This window comes from Homo sapiens, chromosome 12 (assembly GCF_000001405.40).
Source record: "Homo sapiens chromosome 12, GRCh38.p14 Primary Assembly".
In the NCBI taxonomy this organism is placed as follows: domain Eukaryota; kingdom Metazoa; phylum Chordata; class Mammalia; order Primates; family Hominidae; genus Homo; species Homo sapiens.
Window position 1 is genome coordinate 67756650 of NC_000012.12, and position 21166 is coordinate 67777815.

The 21166-nt window shown below is 43.7% G+C and overlaps 2 annotated features.

Annotated features, from left to right (window-relative positions):
* Positions 10384-11107: an enhancer, noted in NCBI's record as "OCT4-NANOG-H3K27ac hESC enhancer chr12:68160813-68161536 (GRCh37/hg19 assembly coordinates)". NCBI's record gives its function as "activates a minimal SCP1, AML or CMV promoter by ChIP-STARR-seq in naive H9 embryonic stem cells {active_cell/tissue: H9 hESC(naive)}" and the evidence as "EXISTENCE:reporter gene assay evidence [ECO:0000049][PMID:30033119]".
* Positions 15882-16404: an enhancer, noted in NCBI's record as "OCT4-NANOG-H3K27ac hESC enhancer chr12:68166311-68166833 (GRCh37/hg19 assembly coordinates)". NCBI's record gives its function as "activates a minimal SCP1, AML or CMV promoter by ChIP-STARR-seq in primed H9 embryonic stem cells {active_cell/tissue: H9 hESC(primed)}" and the evidence as "EXISTENCE:reporter gene assay evidence [ECO:0000049][PMID:30033119]".

The window sequence follows — 21166 nt, forward strand, 5'->3', positions numbered from 1 at the left end:
GACCTTAGGGCCAAGGCTATCACCTATAGCTCTATGGACAGTGCCCTGCACAACCCCACTGTAACAGGGCAGTGAATCCTTGAATGAAAGTCTATACCACTGCCAAGTTTAATACGGCCTCTAACATAAAAGAAAAAAAAGCCATCCTCTTTCTCTTGTGCAAGGAAATAGGTTAGATTAAGCAAGAACAAAGTCTTAGATAAGATGGAAGGGGGTCTATTGAGGAAGTGGCGATGTTTTTATCTTTGGTGGTCAGTGGGATTTTAACAAAGAATCAAAGTAGTGCTGCCTGGCCTTAGGTAGATGAGGTAGTTTTATAGCCTGAGCACAGGTCTGGGAGTATCCAAAGACCTCAAGGCAGCTAGGGAGTACTGGGGCCTGAGCAGGAGGTAGCCCTCCCTGCCCTGGGTCACCCTAGCTCTACTTTTCTCTTTGGTTGGAAACCCTTTGGTTCTAGCAATGCCACGGCCATCTCTCAGAGTGAGTGTGGCCAGGAGAACCAAAGAAACTTATCCTCTTCATTTGCTTTGCATTTTCTGCATTTCCGATTTTCCCAGACTTTTAATATATTGAATCATGCAACCTTATGCATTCTGCTAGAACTTTTAGGTAGTAGCAGAGGTTCTAATTTGATTCTATTTTAATTGTTTTGGGGGTTGTGCCCAGACATGGACATTTTTATAAAGCTCTCAGTTGAGCTTACCATTTCTCGAGAGTGGAGAAAGGCTAGGATGAAGCCAGTGAGTGAGCTAGGGTTTAAATCCAGACTGCCAGGCTGGGGCTCTTGACTATCTACTTGCCCATTCTGCATTCTTGCCCATTCTGTATTACCAGTGCACTCCTTCCAGCCCTTCATTCATCCCAATTCTTTACAAAACTCCATTGGACATCTTTCAGTATGGCCACTCTTAAAGTTGGAGACCCCTCTTGGCAACTAGAACAATATGTATGGGAAGGGGCAGATTGTTTGGCTGGGCTAATTGCCTTCATGTGACCTAGTGCTCCTTCTTATGGGACAGGCAAGCCAGTCTGCCCCCTCCCCAGGACCTCCATTTTAGTGGGTGCTATCAGACCAATCCTTGCCTTTGAGAGTACTGTGAGGTCTGTACCTAGACTTAGGATGATTGAAACATTGTCTGAATGCAATCCGAATGCCTTTATGGAATGCTAGATTCCAACTATGCATCCAAGCTGGCAGAGGAACAGATGGCAGCTTGTCGCTCAATCTGGACTTATAGGAAAAATTATCAGAGAATGCAGTTTTGCTAGTGAGATGAGCAACAGCAGAAATTGCACTAAGTGAAGCAATTTGAAGGTTGGGGATTAGTAGGTCTGTGTCTTTTGACTAGACTGCTATAGTTTAATAACTGAGAAGTATACACTGGGTTATGTATTGAGATTCATGTATGTTTCTCAGACATGAATTCATGTATGAGAAATCCTGCTATGGTTTGAATGTCCCCTCCGAAACTCATGTTGAAACTTTATCTCCAGTGTGGCAGTATTGAGGGATGGGGCCTTTAAGAGGTGTTTGGGTCATGAGGGCTTGCCCTCATGAATAGATTAATCTATTCATCGTTGGATTAATGGGTTAAAGGATTAATGAATTATCACAGGTGTGGAACTGCTGGCTTTATAAGAGGAAGTGAAACCTGAGCCGGCATGCTGAGCAACCTTGCTATGTGGTTCCCTGTTCTGTCTGGGGATGCTGCAGAGAGGCCCCACCAGCAAGTCCCCATCTCACCAGATGTGTCCCTGTGACCTTGGACTTCTCAGCCTTCATTACTTAAGAAGTAAATTTTTTTTTTTTAAATAAACTACCCAGTTTTAGGCATTCTGTTATAAGCAATGGAACATGGACTAAGATCCCACCAGATTAGAACATGTATGATCAGTGCGGGGAGGCTCCGGAGGCCTTTGCTTTAGCCCAGCACCATGAATGGCTGTCTGTGGACTTCCACTGGCTCTGCTCCATCTGCATGCTCTGTCAGAGATAATGAAATCAGACAGGCCCACAGAGACTGCTTTCCCCTCCTCACAAATTTTTAATAAAACTCTTTGAACAACAGAGCTGGGCATCTCTGAAGCCTGAAATTGAAGCGATAAGATAGAAGATTACTCACTTGTCAGTCTGCACCAAACTCTGCATCACCAATACAAATTCCAGGGGAGTTTCAAATCTGCCGACAATTTGAGGCTCTCCATCTGGAGTCTTTTCTTTTTTTCTTTTCATAGGAAGAAAACACAGCACTAAGGAAGAGAAAAGAGACACTTCATTCTCTGCCACGAACAACATGTGAATCAAGCCCTGAAACAGGTTTTCACAAAAAAGTAATTTTTGGAGAGAATTGCCTTTGAGTAAGTAAGTGTCCTGGATTCAGACTTCCTGAGAGAAAATGTAATCACAGCTGTTTGGTCAACACCACCCATCCACGTGCCTTTCAGGAGAAATCACCACTGCAGGGGTCCAGCCTTGCTGGGTTCCCCTGTTCACATGAACCTTGATGCCCACGGTCTACCTGGTGCTGGTGAACCAGCACACAGCACACCTGGCCTCATGGAGCTGGTATTCTGGGTGCAAGACCAACAATCAACAAACACATAAGCACCGTCATGTAATGTTAGGTGGTGCCAAGTGCCTGGTGAAAACAATGAAACACATCATGGGGCAGTGGATTATGGTGGAGGACCAAGGATGGGAGAGGGTGAAATATTTTAGATAGAGTTGTTCAGGAAAGGCCTCTCAGTTCCAGGTTATAAATTAAGTATCTATGTAGGCTGGCCCTTTTTACAAAGCAAAAATCTTGCCATTAATTCTGCAAATAAAATTATTCAGTTTTCAAAAAAAGAAAATTTACTAGCCCTAGCTGAAATTTAAGAAAGAATTTATAGTTCTCTCTTTTCCCCACCCTCAACCCTTTCTTTCCTTCTTTCCTCTCTCCTCTTCTTCCCCTTTCTCCTCTTCTCTCTCTCTTTTGTCTAAGTACCAGTGTCTTGCCTTAACTACCTTCTTATAGCCGGGGAAAAGCAAATGCACAATGTCTCTATTCCTTTATAAATGGTTATTTGGGAAATATTTGTAGGGTCCTAAACTCTCTTAATGAGAGAGGAGAAAGTAAGAAACCAGTCAGGCAGGCAGTTAGGGTGAGTCCCTGGTAAAAATTCATTCAAACAAAGAACAGCCTGAAAATCAAACTGCGGGCCCCAGATAAGAAAGAGACTGCATCCTTGAATGGAAACACTTACTCGGTAAACCCAGATGAACAAATTCTACCCCTATTTGGACATGTTTCTCTCTCCTTGGCATGCCTTAGTCACTTATTTTCACCTACTGGTTTCTTACTTTTCACCTATTTTACATATGCCTACCTTTCTGTAATTGGCAGTGGGCTAAGTCTTCATTTACATAGGTTGAGTCATCACTTCAGCCTCTGATTGGTCCCAGGCCAAGGTCCCAAGCCAAACCTTCGCCTTTGCCTCCAATTGGTTCTTTACACTATGATACCTCTTTCTAAGTGGTGCTTTCTCCAAAACAGCCTGCAGACCAGTCAGCACATTCCTCCCCTTCCCAGTCCATTCATACCCTGGACTCAGCCTCATAGTTGGCAACCCTGTTTTGGGCCCTCTCTCCTTGGTTGGGAGCTTTCTTCTTTTGCTTATTAAACATTCATTCCAACCTCACCCTTTGTGTCCACGCTCCTTAATTTTCTTGGTCACGAGGCAAAGAACCCTGGGATACCTGAAACAACAAGAGACTGCTACATTGTGGTGCATTCGCAAGACTGTAACATTAACACTACTCAGAAAACTTGCTACAACTAACTTCTGCTGTTTTGTTTTATCTTTCTGGGTTCCTAGTAATGTAGATTTTATAATGGATATCTGGAGCTCTGGCCCAGACTTCTGTTATGCCTATAGAAAGATCATGGACCCCTGCTGAAAACAATGAGAAAACGACAAACTCCGAATCTGACCTCTGTACTAATGTCATGTTATTTTCCACATGAAGGCATTGCATTTAAATAAGGTACCAATGGTATACTGTAGCCATTTGCCTTAGATTACAATTGTAGTCTTTTTGTGTGTGTGACAAGTTATCTAGGACTATATGAGTCAGTGTTCTGGCAGAAAAAAACAGTTCAACTCCAGAGGTTTGAGTGAAGCAAATGTAAGAGGGGCTATTGTGAAAGGTGTGAGTAGGGTGAAGGGAGATGGTGAGGCAACCAGAGATTAGCAAGAGCAGAAAACCATTATCACCTGCAGAGCTGAAAGGTAGGGGAATGGTGTTCCCAGAGCCCACTGAGAACTAGAGGCCTGGAGAGAGTGGCCTGAGAAGATGCTGCCTTGTCAGAGCTTAGCAGTGAAAGTAGAGGGCAGAGCAGAGGAAAATACCCATATCTGTCTTTCCTCCCACTCTCTAGTCGCAATTCCAATAGAAAGCCAATGGTCCAGTAGCCTAGACAGTGTGTAGGAGTTAGCCGCCTCTGCGGTACAGAACAGGACAGAAAAAGGCAGAGAAGGGCATCTGAGGAGAGCAAACGCAAATCCAGACCCCAGCAACCACAGGGAACACTCACTTGCTCATTATACACTTTGTCTCTGTGCATATCCATGAGCGCTTCTTCAACCACTGATCCGTCTTTTCTTCTTTCTGTTGTAATAGCCAAATATCGAGCAACGTCACACTTGGTAAATGGTCTCCCTGATCAAAGTGCTAAGGTGACCTAATTAAATCAATGGCTTTTAATTTCATCTGTTTCAGCAATTGGCCTGTGAAGGCCTGATCTGACCATGTGTCCTGCTTATGGTCTCTTCCCTCCCCAAGGGCCTCTTTTGTACTTTAAGATAAAAGATAATTTCAAAGGAGTTTAATTATTTTCTTTCTAAGTAAACTCAAAAGAACTTCCTCTTCTATTCCATTTTTAGGCCCCGTCTATAATTTTCTTATTCCCGCTAATAGTTTCTTTCATAAAGAAATATAGGTCTTGAAAGTCGTTGTAAGGTCATTTTCCTGTAGTAGAGATGGTAAAGATGAAAGCACAGCTGTCTGGGGCCCCTCACAGTCTTATTCTTACTGAGGCTTTCCCAATGACTGCATTTTCTGGCTCTGGCTACAATTATTTCATGAGTTACATTACAAACCATTGCAGTTCCTTTCTTAGCTGAAATAGTTTCCTTGGCCTTTGCTGAGAGTTTCTTTTCTTCCCCCATGAAGAAAGAACAGCTCTTGAGAACTTTGCCAAATGCACACATTCACACAAACCCACCCATTAAATCTGTGTTTAAAACACAAAATTGTTCTGCTGATGTTTGTTGTGAAAAATGGTCATTGTCTACATCTTCACCCACTTTTGAAGAAACTGATCTCTCTGCTGTTTCCTAGAAGAATTCTTTCCTTTGTTGTGCTCTATGTGTGAACAGAGAGAAACAACCTTTAAAGTGATATTGATCCCCTGGCTTTACCAACTCAAAGCCCTACAAAGGGCATGTCAGCTCGTCTTGGAGCTGAATAGCATTACTAATTAAACTCAAGATTTATGCTTCTGTTCATCAGAGAGTACTTCATAAGCACCTCCACCTAACCCGCTCTGTAGCCTGAGACTAAGGAGGGCATGCATGAAAGAAACCTCATGAATATTAAGTGATGCTTTATTGAGACCCTTGAGGCCTTGCCAATGGCATGGGAAGCATGTCATTCTTCATTTGTAGCTCTTGAACATTTAGGTGGTCAATCCTGCAGAGAAAAATATCTACCCACAAAAATATATCTCAGCCCATTCCAAATTAAATATTGTCAGCCCCCTCTCTCTTCACCCCCAAGTCACCAGAAGTTAAGTTAGACTCAGGAAGGTAAGAATTCAGTATAGATGTTTTCACTAAGTGCTAATGAGCTGTGGTATCAGAAGCTGTAAAAAAGCCATCAAGATATTAGCCAAAATCGGAGGGAAGAAAGTTCACCCAAAGCACAGCTGCTGAAATCATTATATTCTTCAGGTACCATTTTACAAACAGTCTATTCCCAGGCCTGATGTCTGAAATAGGGAGTTTGCTTGTCTTTACCAGTTTAGTTTCCTAGGCCTGGAATATGATACCAAGATCAGGGTAACAGGTCTTCCGTATTAGGGCTCTCCAACCCCCCGGGCTACAGACTAATACTGGCCCCTGGCCTGCTAGGAACCGGGTCACCCAACAGGAGGTGAGCAGCAGGCAAGTGAGCATTACCACCTGAGCTCCACCTCTTGTCAGATCAGCAGGGGCATCAGATTCTCAGGAGCACAAACCCTATTGTGAACTGGACATGTGAGGGATCTAGGTCGCGTGCTCCTTATGAGAATCTAATGGCCGGTATGATCTGAGATGGAACAGTTCCATCCTGAAACCATCCCTCCCTCTACCCCCATTTCACCGTCACTTTCCCTCACCCTCCTCAACTATCACACCCTCCCGCACCGCCGCCACCCCCCACCCTGTCTATGGAAAAATTGTCTTCCATGACACCAGTCCCTGGTGCCAAAAAGTTTGGTGACTGCTGTCCTGTATAACCTGGTGGGTCAGTTCATGTACCTAGGTTGGCTGTAGGAGCTATTTACTTTCCTGGATATAATCAGAGAGAAAGACACTTACTAGCTGCTGACCCAGAGGGAGAAGAAAGGAGCATTTCTACCTGGGATTCTGTGATACAGGTTAACTTCTGAAACGACTCAGTTCCTGATGATGCAGAATTTTCAAACTTTAAGAGGCTAAACTTGGAAGAGCCTCTTGAGTGGCTAAGATGATATGCAGGTGCGCCACAGTTTTCTGGGTGTCTACATGGTCATCGCATTGGTGATAAAGCTATGGTTATTAATAATTAGAGCACAATTTAGAAATTGTTGACATTAAACCTGGAATTCAGATCACATTCCTTCTCTGCTAAAATCTCTTCCATGCCTTCCCACTGAAATTAGAATTAAAATGTCAACTTTTTTGTGGCCTTGTCTGGTCTCTCCCTACTGACCAACCTTATCTCTCTCCTCCTTCCCCTTGTTTTGCCAAAGACTCAAGCCCTGCACTGATATTGCTTCTGGTCCTAATCCTAAACTGGCTCTTATGTCAGGACCTTTGTACTTCCAGGCCTGTCTTAACTCAAAATGTACTATTCTCAGAGAGGTCTTTCTCTTCAGACTGTACTTTCTAAAATAATGCCCCTGTGGCAGGTATTCTCTTACTCATCATATCACCCTATTTATTCCCTTCATAGTAATGATGAAAATCAGTATTTATTTTTACTTTTTATTTATCTGTTTCCTCCACTAAGAGCTCCAATGAGTAGGAACTCTTTAGTCATTACATTATCTCTATCAGCTAACAATAAAGAACGACATGGAGCAGAACTCAAAATATAATTGTTGAATGAAGTAAAGAAACCTTATTTGTTAATATTAATTTTTAATATAAACCATTTACAAATATGAACATGCTAGGTTCATGGTCCACATTTTTTAAAGGATCTGGTACTCCTGACATGCAAAGCTCCAAAGCAGTACCAACCTTCGCTATAGATATGTTCCCCAACCCTGTATGGGGTAGGGAAGGCTGGCTAAAGTTCGGTTGTAGCTTTGAGGTTATGATTTAGTGACATTAACTGTAACCACCGAAAGAACTTGAGGGAAGTATCTCTTAACCTCTTTTTAAATTTTTCATTTGAGCTACAAATATGGGTATTGAAAGAAGTTTTGACAAAGCTTTTTTTTTATCTATGCTTTATTGAAAATAAATAGTCTTTTTAAAAATGTTTTATTTTTTAAGAGACAGAGTCTCACACAGTCACCCAGGCTGGAGTGTGATGGTACAAAATCATAGATCACTGCAAACTTGAACTCCTGGACTCAAGGGATCCTCCTGCCTAGGTCTCCCAAAGTGCTAGGATTACAGGAGTAAGCCACCACGTCCAGCCTGAAGTAATGCTGTTAACTGCCTCTTGGTGTTTGTTTTCTGCCAATTGCATGCCATTTTTTCCTTTTGTAATAGTGTCTATTAGATAGTACAAGACGAGATCTATTAATTTCTATGCTTTTCTTCCTTCCTCATATTTCCTGATACTCTTTGTAGTTGCTAGAGGCTTCCACATTGATACAAGAAGAATTGGGATTGCTGTATCTAAAACTATAAGGGAAATAAATGGCTAATTACAGGTTTGTTTCTTTATTTACTTGTAGGGTCCATTCGGATTAAAAGTAAAGGCTTTGAGAGGAACTAAGTGTCCCACTTGTGAATTTATGCAACAACAAAGGTGAAGAAGAAAACCGTGTGTGTTATGGGGGAGGGGGGAAGTAGGGTAGAAGATCTTGCCCACCCTACCTCTTGGAAAACAGAAAGACTTAGGTGGGAGGTGCCCTTGAAGGGCCAGATCTGGGTTACTAGGAGGGGAGAAAAGAATGCAGAGGTGACAGAGCATGGCCAGTGGCCAAGAGCCACATGGAAGCCAAGCCAAAGCTGCAGGTGGCCGTCTTTCTTTCTTTTTTCATTACCCAAGCAAAGAGACTTTGAGGCAGTTCTCACCTGTGCCAGGACGGAGGCTTTCTTCCACAGCTGCCTGGGGTTCAGCCCTCAGCAGAAGAACACCTGTCTGCAACCTGAGACTCCGCAGAGCTCCCATCTACCTGTCCCGCTCAAAAACCACCCTGGTTTTTGAGTGGGACAAAAGGTGGGGTCCTTGGCCACCCAAGAGAGGCAGTAGTAAGTGGAACAGACACAAACCTGGGCGGGGCTGGATAGCAGAGAAATTCACTGCATGTGCCCAACCATTTTTCATTAGGAATAGGATGATATCCAGCAGTTTAGGTCATGCTTTTTGTTACAAATAAGCCCTACCACTGCCACTTCTAATTTAGAATTACCTCTAATGTGCTTCTTGGGATTCTGGCCTTGATAAAAATGTAGAAAACCATTTTTCTAACACAGGACTTCAGAAGGCAAATAATCACAGCCTTGTTGGCCTGCAGTGAGGAGTGGGACCAGACCCACCTTCAAGAGCACCCACATTTGAACCCTTGAGGGAATAAATACTTGATGCTCTTTACAAAAATCCTTACCCTTTCCATCTTCCATTCATATAACCCCTCTACCAAATTATGGACACCCGTGAAACGCTGAGAAGCAGCAGCAAAAATCTGTGCACTGAGCAACAGTATCTTGAAACTTAACTTCATTTTATTATACATCACTCTGTCTCAGAAAGGAACTCACCAGTTCTAACAGTCCTCTTATTGGGAAGCCGGCACAGAGATTTCTCTTTTCTCCAGAGGAAGGAAGAGGATTTTAGTATTTCACTCTAACACTTGAGTGAGTTATTAGGGAAATTCATTGCCTAACTGCTGGCTGCTGCTTCCTTATTATTTCTTCCAGAACCTTTAGCCTCTGATCAGCACTCTGAAATATAGACTGGTCCTGAAACTGCCTTTGCAAAAATTATAACTGAGACAATAATTACAGTGACAAAGATCTGACCTAACCGACTCCATCTTGCTTCTAACCTCTGAGCTGTCCTTGTTCATACCTGGGTGTAGGCTGAACTAACTTTGGGAGTAGCTTAGTTTATAGTTTAGCGTGGAAACAAAGACAATCACAACCCTTTCTCAAAACAAACCCCCTTCCTGCCTGGGGACTAGACTGCCTTTTTAGGACTAACAAATTAGCTACAAGATTAGAAATTATGATTTAGGAGTCATGTAGCTGGAGGCTGCAAGATTCTCAACCTCCCAAATTGCTCCTAGGGATAGCATCACTATTGTAAAACCTAAGAACAGTGCTTGAGATATTTTGCAGAACCTGCACTCGATGGATCAGCTGGCACCACCTAGATCTATAAACTAGCTCATCTGGTCTTGTGGACTCCAACCAGGAACTGACTCAGAGCAAGAGGACAGCTTCGACTTCCTATGATTTCATCTCTGACCTGATGAATCAGCAATCCCCACTTTCTGACCCCCTACCTACTAAATTATCCTGATTTGAGGAATGATAAAACTCCTGTCTCCCATACAGCTGGCTCTGCATGAATTAAAGTCTTTCTCTGTTGCAATTCCCCTATCTTGATAAATCAGCTCCATCTAGGCAGCAGGCAAGGTTACCCCGTTGGGAGTTTACAGTCCCTGTCCTTGGGGTGGTGGGGTTGTCATGCGCGTCCGTGTGAAGAGACCACCAAACAGGCTTTGTGTGAGCAACATGGCTGTTTATTTCACCTGGGTGCAGGCGGGCTGAGTCTGAAAAAAGAGTCAGAGAAGGGAGATAAGGGTGGGGCTGTTTTATAGGATTTGGGTAGGTAAAGGAAAATTACAGTCAAAGGGGGTTTGTTCTCTGGCGGGCAGGAGTGGGGGTCGCAAGGTGCCCAGTGGGGGTGCTTTTTGAGCCAGGATGAGCCAGGAAAAGGACTTTCACAAGGTAATGTCATCAGTTAAGGCAAGGACCGGCCATTTACACTTCTTTTTTGGTGGAATGTCATCAGTTAAGGCGGGGCAGGGCATATTCACTTCTTTTGTGATTCTTCAGTTACTTCAGGCCATCTGGGCATATATGTGCAAGTCACAGGGGATGCGATGGCTTGGCTTGGGCTCAGAGGCCTGACATTCCTGCCTTCTTATATTAATAAGAAAAATAAAACAAAATAATGGTAAAGTGTTGGGAAAATTTTGGGGGATGGTATGGAGAGAGAATGGGCGATGTTTCTCAGGGCTGCTTCAAGCGGGATTAGGGGCGGTGTGGGAACCTAGAGTGGGAGAGATTAAGCTGGAGGCAGGTCTTGTGGTAAGGGGTGATATTGTGGGGATGTTAGAAGAAACATTTGTCGTATAGAATGATTGGTGATGGCCTGGATACGGTTTTGTATGAATTGTAAAAACTAAATGGAATAACAGAAGGAGAAAAACAGGTATAAAAGGTCTAAGAATTGGGACGACTCAGGATGTCTGATTAGAGAGTGCTTAAGGAGATTCGGCATAGTCCTGCCAGCAAAGATTATTTATTTACTTCAAGAGTTAAGAGTGGCAGTTTGGGGATAGCACCAGGAGATATCAGCTGTGATGGCTTGGAAAAACAGTGTAAACCGGCAGTGTAAACAAGAGCAGGGCATGTATGAGTAGTTGAGAACGGTGAATAGGAGTATGACTAGACAGAAAATAGTAGGGATGACAAGTTTTTTTTGGTGGGGGGCACAGTCTAAGTTGGTCGTCTGGTGTCTGGAATGAGACTGGGGCCTAATAAAAAGGAGCGTCTATACAGGAGCTTAAATGGGCTGTATTCTGAGAAGGGAAACTGGTAAAACTATTGTCCAGTCCTTTTTAAATTGGTGGCTGAGCTTGGTGAGGTGTGTTTTTAAAAGACCTTTAGTCCATTCTACTTTTCTTGAAGACGGAGGACCATAAGGGATATAAAGGTTTCACTGAATACTAAGAGCCTGAAAAACTGCTTGGCTGATTTGACTAATAAAGGCTCGTCTGTTATCAGACTATATTGAGGTGGGAAGGCTAAATTGAGGAATTATGTCTGACAGAAGGGAAGAAATGACTGCGGTGGCCTTCTCAGACCCTGTAGGAAAGGCCTTTACTTATTCAGTGAAAGTGTCTATTTAGATTAAGAGGTATTTTAGTTTCCTGACTCGGGCATGTTGTTGAGAGGTTCTAAGAGGTGGGCTAGTGGCTTGTACTATAGCATAACCTGCCTTTGCTGGTGTGTGGCGATTAGGCCTGGTGGAACCGCCATCAATAAATCAAGTGTGATCTGGGTGAGGAACAGGAAAGAAGGAAATTTGGGGAAATGGGGTGAATGTCAGGTGGATCAGAGACATACAGTCATGGGGGTCAGGTGTGGTATCAGGAATAATATGGGAGGCTGGATTGATTGAAGTCCGGGCCAGGAACAATGGTAATTGTGGGAGACTCAACAAAGAGTGAGTATAGCTGAAGGAGCCAGGAAGCAGAAAGTATATGCGTCAGGTGTGAGGAAGAAAACAGATTTTGGAAGTTATGAGAACTGTAAAGAGTGAGTTGAGCATAGTTTGTGATTTTGAGGGCCTCTAAAAGTATTAAAGCAGCAGCAGCCACTGCACGCAAACATGAGAGCTAGGCTAAAACAGTAAGGTCAAGTTGTTTGGACAGAAAGGCTACAGGGTGTGGTCCTGGCTCTTGTGTAAGAATTCTGACCGCGCTAACCATGCCTAGGAAGGAAAGGAGTTGTTGTTTTGTAGAAGGTGCTGGGGTTTGAGAGATCAGTCGGACACGATTGGCAGGGAGAGCACGTGTGTTTTTATGAGAATTATGCCGAGATAGGTAACAGATGAGGAAGAAATTTGGGCTTGATTGAAGTAATGGGGGCTGCCTGTGAAGCTTTGTGGCAGTACAGCCTAGGTAATTTGCTGAGCTTGATGGGTGTCAGGGTCAGTCCAAGTGAAAGCGAAGAGAGGCTGGGATTAAGGGTGCAAAGGAATAGTAAAGAAAGCATGTTTCAGATCTAGAACAGAATAATGGGTTGTAGAGGCAGGTATTGAGGATAGGAGAGTATATGGGTTTGGCACCACGGGGTGGATAGGCAAAACAATTTGGTTGATAAGGCAGAGATCCTGAACTAACTTGTAAGGCTTGTCTGGTTTTAGGACAGGTAAAATGGGGGAATTGTAAGGAGAGTTTATAGGCTTTAAAAGGCCATGCTGTAGCAGGCGAGTGATAACAGACTTTAATCTTTTTAAAGCGTGCTGCGGGATGGGATATTGGCGTTGAGTGGGGTAAGGGTGATTAGGTTTTAATGAGATGGTAAGGGGTGCATGATCGGTCACCAAGGAGGGAGTAGAGGTATCTTATACTTGTGGGTTAAGGTCGGGGGATACAAGAGGAGGACACAAAGGAGGCTTTGGATTGGGAAGAAGGGCGGCAATGAGATATAGCTGTGGTCCAGGAATAGTCAGGAAAGCAGATAATTTAGTTAAAGTGTCTCAGCCTAATAAGGGAACTGGGCAGGTGGGGATAACTAAAAAGGAGTGCTTAAAAGAGTATTGTCTAAGTTGGCACCAGAGTTGGGGAGCTTTAAGAGGTTTAGAAGCCTGGCCGTCAATACCCACAACAGTTATGGAGGCAAGGGAAACAGGCCCTTGAAAAGAAGGTAATGTGGAGTGGGTAGCCTCCGTATTGATTAAGAAGGGGACGGGCTTACCTTCCACTGTGAGAGTTACCCGAAGCTCGGCGTCCGTGATGGTCCAGGGGGCTTCCGAGGCGATCGGGCAGTGTCAGTCTTCAGCCGCTAAGCCGAGAAGATCTGGGAAGGAGTCAGTCAGAGAGCCTTGGGCCAGAGTTCCAGGGGCTCTGGGAGTGGCTGCCAGGTGAGTTGAACAGTCTGATTTTCATGGGGTCCTACACAGATGGGACACGGCTTAGGAGGAATGCCAGGCTGCGGGCATTCCTTGGCCCAGTGGCCAGATTTCTGGCACGTGTAGCAAGCTCCTGTGGGAGGAGGTTCTGGAGGAACGCCTGGCCGCTGCGGTTCGGGCATTTGGAAGTTCTTGTGTGCTGGAGATGTGGCTGGGGTTTGTCTCACAGTGGAGGCAAGGAATTGCAACTTTTTTCTGTTATTGTACACCTTGAAGGCGAGGTTAATTAAGTCCTGTTGTGGGGTTTGAGGGCCAGATTCCAATTTTTGGAGTTTTATTTAATGTCGGGAGCAGATTGGGTAATAAAATGTATATTGAGAATAAGATGGCGTTTTGACCTTTTAGGGTCTAGGGCTGTAAAGCGTCTCAGGGTTGCTGCCAAACGAGCCATGAACTGGGCCGGGTTTTTATATTTGATGAAAAAGAGCCTAAACGCTTCTGATTTGGGATAAAGAAAAAGGAGCATTAACCTTGACTATGCCTTTGGCTCCAGCCACCTTTTTAAGAGTAAATTGCTGGGCAGGTGGAGGAGGGCTAGTCACGGAACGAAACTGTAAGCCGGACCAGGTGTGAGGAGGGGAGGCGATAAAAAGATTACAGGGTGCAGGAGCGGAGGCTGAGGAAGAATTGGGACCTAGCTTGGGCTGGCGAGGAGGGGAGAGGTCAGATGGGTCTGTAGAAAAGGAAGATTAGAAAGACTCAGCGACGCTTGGGGTTGGTACTGAGGGGACAGGCGGGAGGGAAAGAAAGAAGATTTGAGACGAGTTGCACTGGGCACAGAGACTAGGAAGGGACTGATGTGTAAAATAATGCCTGGACGTCAGGCACCTCAGACCATTTGCCTATTTTACGACAATAATTATTTAGATTTTGCAGGATGGAAAAATTCAAAGTGCCATTTTCTGGCTATTTGGAACTACTGTCGAGTTTGTATTGGGGTCAAGTGGCATTGCCGAAGAAAATAAGGCATTTAGGTTTTAGGTCAGGTGTGAGTTGAAGAGGTTTTAAGTTTTTGAGAACACAGGCCAAGGGAGTAGAAGGAGGAATGGAGGGTGGAAGGTTGCCCATAGTGAAGGAAACAAGCCTAGAGAAAAGAGAGAGTAGAGAAATGGAGGGAAGGAGTTCGGGGGTTCTTACCTTCCAGAAAAGTGGGAAAAGGGGTTGGGGTGCAGAGATAAGAGGTCGGGGCATGGAAATAAGGGATTGGGGCACAGAGATAAGAGGTTGGGGAGTGGAAATAAGAGATTGAGGGTTCTTGCCCCATAGAAAAGCGGAACTTGCCGCTAAGGGTGAAGGAGAAGGGGTTGAGGGGTACTTGCCCCTCTCCCAGAAAAGCAGAGAAGGGGTAGAGACAAGGAGAGAAGGGGTTGAGGTACTTGCCCCTTCCCCAGAAAAGCAGGACTTGCCGCTAAAGGTGAAGGACCAAGGCAGGCGTCCCTGCATGGTCTGACACCCTTGAAACGTGGGTGTATAATCAGAGAGGCGTCCCTGCAATGATTAAACACCAAGGGAAGGCTGCCTTCCCAGTCCGTGACCGGCGCCGGAGTTTTGGGTCCATGGATAAAACGTGTCTCCTTTGTCTCTCCCAGAAAATGAAAGGAATTGAAATTAAGAGAAGGGAGAGATTGAAGAGTGGAAAGGAGAAAGTGGTTGAGGGACAGTGAGAGAGGTTGGAGAAGAGAGTAAGAAGAGGCCGCTTACCTGATTTAAAATTGGTGAGATGTTCCTTGGGCTGGTCGGTCTGAGGACCTGAGGTCGTAGGTGGATCTTTCTCACGGAGCAAAGAACACAGGAGTACAGGGGATTGATCTCCCAAGGGAGGTCCCCGATCCGAGTCACGGCACCAAATTTCATGCGCGTCGGTGTGAAGAGACCACCAAACAGGCTTTGTGTGAGCAACATGGCTGTTTATTTCACCTGGGTGCAGGCGGGCTGAGTCTGAAAAAAGAGTCAGCGAAGGGAGATAAGGGTGGGGCTGTTTTATAGGATTTGGGTAGGTAAAGGAAAATTACAGTCAAAGGGGGTTTGTTTTCTGGCGGGCAGGAGTAGGGGTCGCAAGGTGCTCAGTGGGGGTGCTTTTTGAGCCAGGATGAGCCAGGAAAAGGACTTTCACAAGGTAATGTCATCAGTTAAGGCAAGGACCGGCCATTTACACGTCTTTTGTGGTGGAATGTCATCAGTTAAGGTGGGGCAGGGCATATTCACTTCTTTTGTGATTCTTCAGTTACTTCAGGCCATCTGGGCGTATACGTGCAAGTCACAGGGGATGCGATGGCTTGGCTTGGGCTCAGAGGCCTGACAGGGGTCTCATAAATACTGGGAAGCATATTGAGCGGCCCATGGAACCCATTCTGTGCTCTCTGTTGGGGTCTGCTGTAAAGTAGGCAGGGACACCTGTTTTCCTCTTTGTCCTGGGCAGCAGCTGCTCCCACAGAACAGTCTCTGGGGAAGGGGTGGCACACACTGGTCAGTCCCTTTGTTTCTACTGCCTTTACCACCCTCCTGAGAATGTTTTCTTTCCCGCCTTTATTTTTCTTTACCTGTTTCATGTCAATGACCCATGGGGTTTAGGCAGTTCCTTTTGCCCTGCTTCCTCCATCTAATGCTTACCATCCATAAGTATTTGTATTTGGAAAGCAGACTGGATCCTGGTTTCCAGGTCATGTCGATTTTATGCATTATTATTTGTAACCAGAGAATCTTCAGCTCCCAGTGGTCAATCTGTCTTCCATCCTGTCTTCCATGAAAGGGTTAACCTTAGGAAGCCTGTAAAGGCAGCACTGCTTCCCTTCTGCGTTCAAGGGCTGATAGGCTGCTGGGCTAACCATATTAGGAGTGTGTGAAGATTTAGCTCTGGGTGTACACAGCGGGAGCTCTCCTGTCAGTCTGAAAGGCAGGAGCTATATTTAGTAACAGGCACTTGGGAATAGCAGCTTAAACGTGGGAGTGGGTTGCTGGAATGCAGATGTGTAGTGAATCTCTACTCCAATCCCCATGGAAGCTTTAAGCTGAAGCCTTAGGAGAGATCTGGGCTCTTCTTCCCCCCACCTTCTCCACATTGTCTGGATGGCATCCTTTGCAAGTCTAGAAAGCATAATGCAGTCCCTCTCGGCTCCGCTCCTTTTTTAACATGGAGAAAGAGAATTGTGATTGTTGAAAGAACCATCACTCAAAATGTTGTGAACAGTGATTTTTCTCCCCTAAGAACTCACCTCCTTTCCCATATCTGGTTAACTAACCACTAATAGGATGAATGGAATAATTTTATTGCCCTATGATTTCTCCCCTTAGGAAATAAAAATAATCACCTCCCTTTTGTTTTGCAGGAATTTTTGGTAGTAGAAGTATTTTATTTCAGGTGATAGAGGTCCTTAGGTCTAGAAATGTCTTCTTTATGGAATGTAATTATATAATCAGGACATAATTATTATGTATGAAGTGATTTCTTATAAGTCTATGCAAATTTATACAAAATTCTATGAGAGTAAAAATTAAGGAAAAATAGTCTTATAGATAAAGTTGTTAACACATTTAATGGTATGGAAGCAAATGCCTATTTAATTGACTCATGGCAGCTCTATTTTAAGGGTAATTTGTTTATCTAGAAATGATCAGTCCAGGGCAGCTTTTGGGCCCATTTCACTTTGCTTTGCTTCTTTCTCTTTTTTTTTTTTCTTTCTCCCTCTTCTTCCTTTCTTTCTCTCTCTCTCTCTCTTTCTGTTTCTCTCTCTCCTGTCTGTCTGTCTTGGCTAAATTTGCCATTTCAATTGACTGAGACTTTAGTTTAAATGAATAGACTAAGGTCATTTCTAACTTTGAGGTTTGGGAAACATGTAAACATTTAGAATATGGAGTTCTCCTTGTTTCCACATATTTACATCTGCTGTAAATCTACTTAATTTCCCCAGATTATTCGGTAGTGGAGAGTTCTAGTCAAAATATCACATAGGCCTAAAGCTCTGGCTGGGAAGATCATCTGACTAAAAGGCAAAGCCCTTGTTTTTTTTCACTACCATCTACTACAGCCAGAATCCTTTCACTTCTGAGCTCCAGCTAGGAGGAGATGATTGGATTATTTAGATAACCCTGGTTAAAAGTAACAAAGTGTAGTGTAATCTAATATGTGTGATTATCTGGGGATCCTTGTTGGAAAAGAATCTCAAGGAATTTAGCTAGGTCAGCACACTCTCTTGGGGGCAGTGATAGGATTCAGCAAAAGTGTTCACAACAAATAGAAGACGTACATAGTGACCACAGATGGGAAATAGGGTTAACCTTGACACTCAGTACAGACCCAGAGGGAGGTGGAAAAGCTGGGGGTGGGGGCAGATATTGGAGATGGAGTAGATTCAACAGAGGAGGCAAGGAAAGGCAACCGGGAAGGCTAAGGAATACAAATAGCCAGGGAGGGAAGCCCAGGAAAAGCTGGAGTCAGGAGGACACCCCACCAGAGATGATGGTGTCTGCAGAGGCAGGAAGATAGAGTATGACATTAGGGAACTTCGGAAGGTAGTGTTGAGAGATCCAGGCCGGCAGCGAAGATGGTGAGATTGGCTAACCAGGTGCTAGGCTCCTACCATCATCTTGGGGTGGTAGTTTGAACGGGGGGTTGGGGAGGGAAAGGGGCAATGCAAGGCAGAGATGCATTCATTGAGGAACTAAAATAGTGAAGATTTCTAGGCAAAGATTCAGAGATAAATCAGTAAGAATCTAACTTCCAGAGAATTATAATTCATAGTAAGTGATCATTATAACTAGTGTTGATTGCCCATTATATGCTAAGCACTGCAAACACTGAGAGGGCACGTTGCATGCACTGTCTCCACTAATTTATACAGCAAGCTTATGAAATCCAATCTCTTATGTTCATTGTTAAACATGAGGAAACTGAGGCACCAAGTGGTACTTGACTCGTAAGTGATAGAGCTGGGATTTAAGCTCAGGTCTCTGACCAGAACCCCAAAACTTAATTGCTTCACTATAGTAACTGCCAAACTGCTATAGATCTTAAAATCAGTTGGGGGTTTTATTTTAAGAAAAAGGTAGAAGCTCTTTTTCTAGAGTTGTTGTTTTTCTCACAGCAAATTGGATCTGATGCTGTTAGTTGTCAAACATAAGTGCTCATTATATGCAAGGCATTGTGCTAAGTGCTGGGCCTGCAGAGATACTTTTGACATAGTAGCTGAAGAAACATTATATAGACAAATACATGAATCACAACGTGATGTGATAAGTGCTTGGAGAGCCAGATATTAAGTGCTGATGGGAAAACTAAGGAGGAATGGAATTAGAGAAAGCTTGAAGACCGAAAATTTGAGGAGCCTGGAGGGAACAATAACAGCTCCCCGGGTGAATAAGGCCATGAAGAATGTCACAGGTGGAGAGGGGAGATTTTTGAAGGTAGAAGTCATCAAGGATCTACAACCAGCCTGGCGTGGTGGGAAATGAACCTGAGAATGTAGATTGAAGCCATGTTATATGAAAGGCTTGTATGCCAGAGTAAGGAAATTAGAACCCCCTGAGTTCTGAACAAGAGCTCCTAAAATCACCTTGTCTTAAGGTCTGGACTGACCTCAGAGCTAGTGGGATGATTCTGCAGGCCAGTCTAAGAAATGATACCTCGTGGGAAGAAAAGATCCCAAGACAAGCAACTGGCAGACCCTAATAAGAGCCAGGTAAACAGGGTCCAGGGTAAAGAATTTGTCCTGCAGGGTCATAACTGTTTTCTGGAATAAATAGATAAGTCATCCTCCTTTGCCCTATAACACTCTTAGCTCATTAGTCTGAGCTTCTGATGAAAACTTGTCTCAGTACTCACTAAGATTTTCAATTTCCTTCTTAACCTGTAAGAAGCTGATTAAATTAAGCACTATTGACATCCAGGCTCTTAAAATAGAAAATCATTTAAAGGGATGGGCAGTCTGAATAACAAATAGTGTCACTCTCTGGTTCTCCTTTCTGCCACCCTCCCTTGGTTCTAAAGATAGGATATTTAAATGGATGGAGCCCTGTAGGCTTGTAGGTTTCCCTGGTGAACTCAACTCTCCACGTGCTCAGTAGCTACTTGTTGAAGAAAATAACAGAACCAGGCTGATTAATTTTAAATTGATGCTTTAACCTTAAATTCTGGATAATAAACCTCAAATGAACACCTGACAATGGCCGGGAATTCTACTATGCTTCCATAGTGAGTGTACTTGCCTATTCTTTCAGATAGTTATTTCACACAATCTGCTCTCTCTTCCAACTTCCCACATCTCCCCTCTTCTTTTCAATGAATGACTTTGTCTTATTATTAAGAAAATTGGATCCAGTAATCCCAGTCTAGGTATAAATCTAAAGAAAATGAAATCAGTAGGTCAAAGATGTATCTGCACTCCCATGTCCATTGTAGCATTACTCACAATAGATAAGATATGGAATCCACCTAAATGTCCATCAATAGATGAATGGCTAAGGAAAATGTGATATATATACATAATGGAATATGATTCAGCCTTTAAAAAGAAGGAAATTTAGTCATTTGGGACAACATGGCTAAACCTGGAGGACATTATGTTAAGTGAAATAAGCCAAGCACAGAAAGACAAATACAACCTGATCTCCCTTAGATGTGGAGTGTAAAAAAGTTGAACTCATAGAAACAGAGAGTAGAATGGTGATTACTGGGTGATGGGGGTATGGGGGATTGCCGGGGGAAATGCCAGTCAAAGGACAAAAAAATTTTAGTTTGGAGAAATAAGTTCAAGAGATCTGTTCTACAACACGGTGACTACAGTTAACAACGTGTTGAATTCTTAAAAATTGCTAAGAGAATAGATTTTAAGTGTTCTCACCATAAATATGTGAGGTAATGCATATAATAATTAGCTTCATTTAGACATTTCATGATGTAAACATATTTCAAAACAACATTTTGTACACAATAAATACATGTGATTTTTTTGTCAGTGAGAAACAAATTATAAAAAAGAAAGAAAAGAAAAGCTCTTAGCTGGGTGTGGTGGCTCATTCTGTAATCCCAGCTCTTTGGGAGGCCGAGGCGGGCAGATCACTTGAGGTCAGGAGTTCGAGACCAGCCTGGCCAAAATGGCGAAACCCTGTCTCTACTAAAAACAAAAAAATTAGCTAGGCCTGGTGGTGCACACCTGTAATCCCAGCTACTTGGGAGGCTGAGGCAGGAGAATCACTTGAACCTGAGCAGCGGAGGCTGCAGTGAGCCGAGATGGCACCATTGAACTCCAGCCTGAGCAATAAGAATGAAACTCCATCTCAAAAAAAAAAAAAAAAGAAAACCTCTCAGAGAAGATAACCTGATCTTCCTGCCGATCTTCCCTATAAATCTACACCTATGCACGTCAGAGGCCAGTTCCTGTACATCTGTGTTCTATATCCTGTTCCCTTTTGAGGGACTTTATCCCTTCCATGAGTCTCTGTCACTTCTGTGTTGTCAATTTCTTTTTTTCTGGATCATTCTATCAGTGTACAAACAGTCTTCAGTATCTTCTACCTTTAACAAAAATACCTTACATTTCCCAATCCCACATTTCCTTCCACATATTGTGTCATTTCTTAGCTCTGATTTTTTTTTTTTTTCTTTAAGATGGAGTCTCACTTTATCATCCAGGTGGGAGTGCAGTGGCGCGGTCTCAGCTCACTGCACCCTCTGCTTCCCAACTGATTCTCCTGCCTCAACCTCCCGAGTAGCTGGGACTACAGGCGTGCACCACCACACCTGGCTAATTTTTGTATTTTTAGTAGAGACAGGGT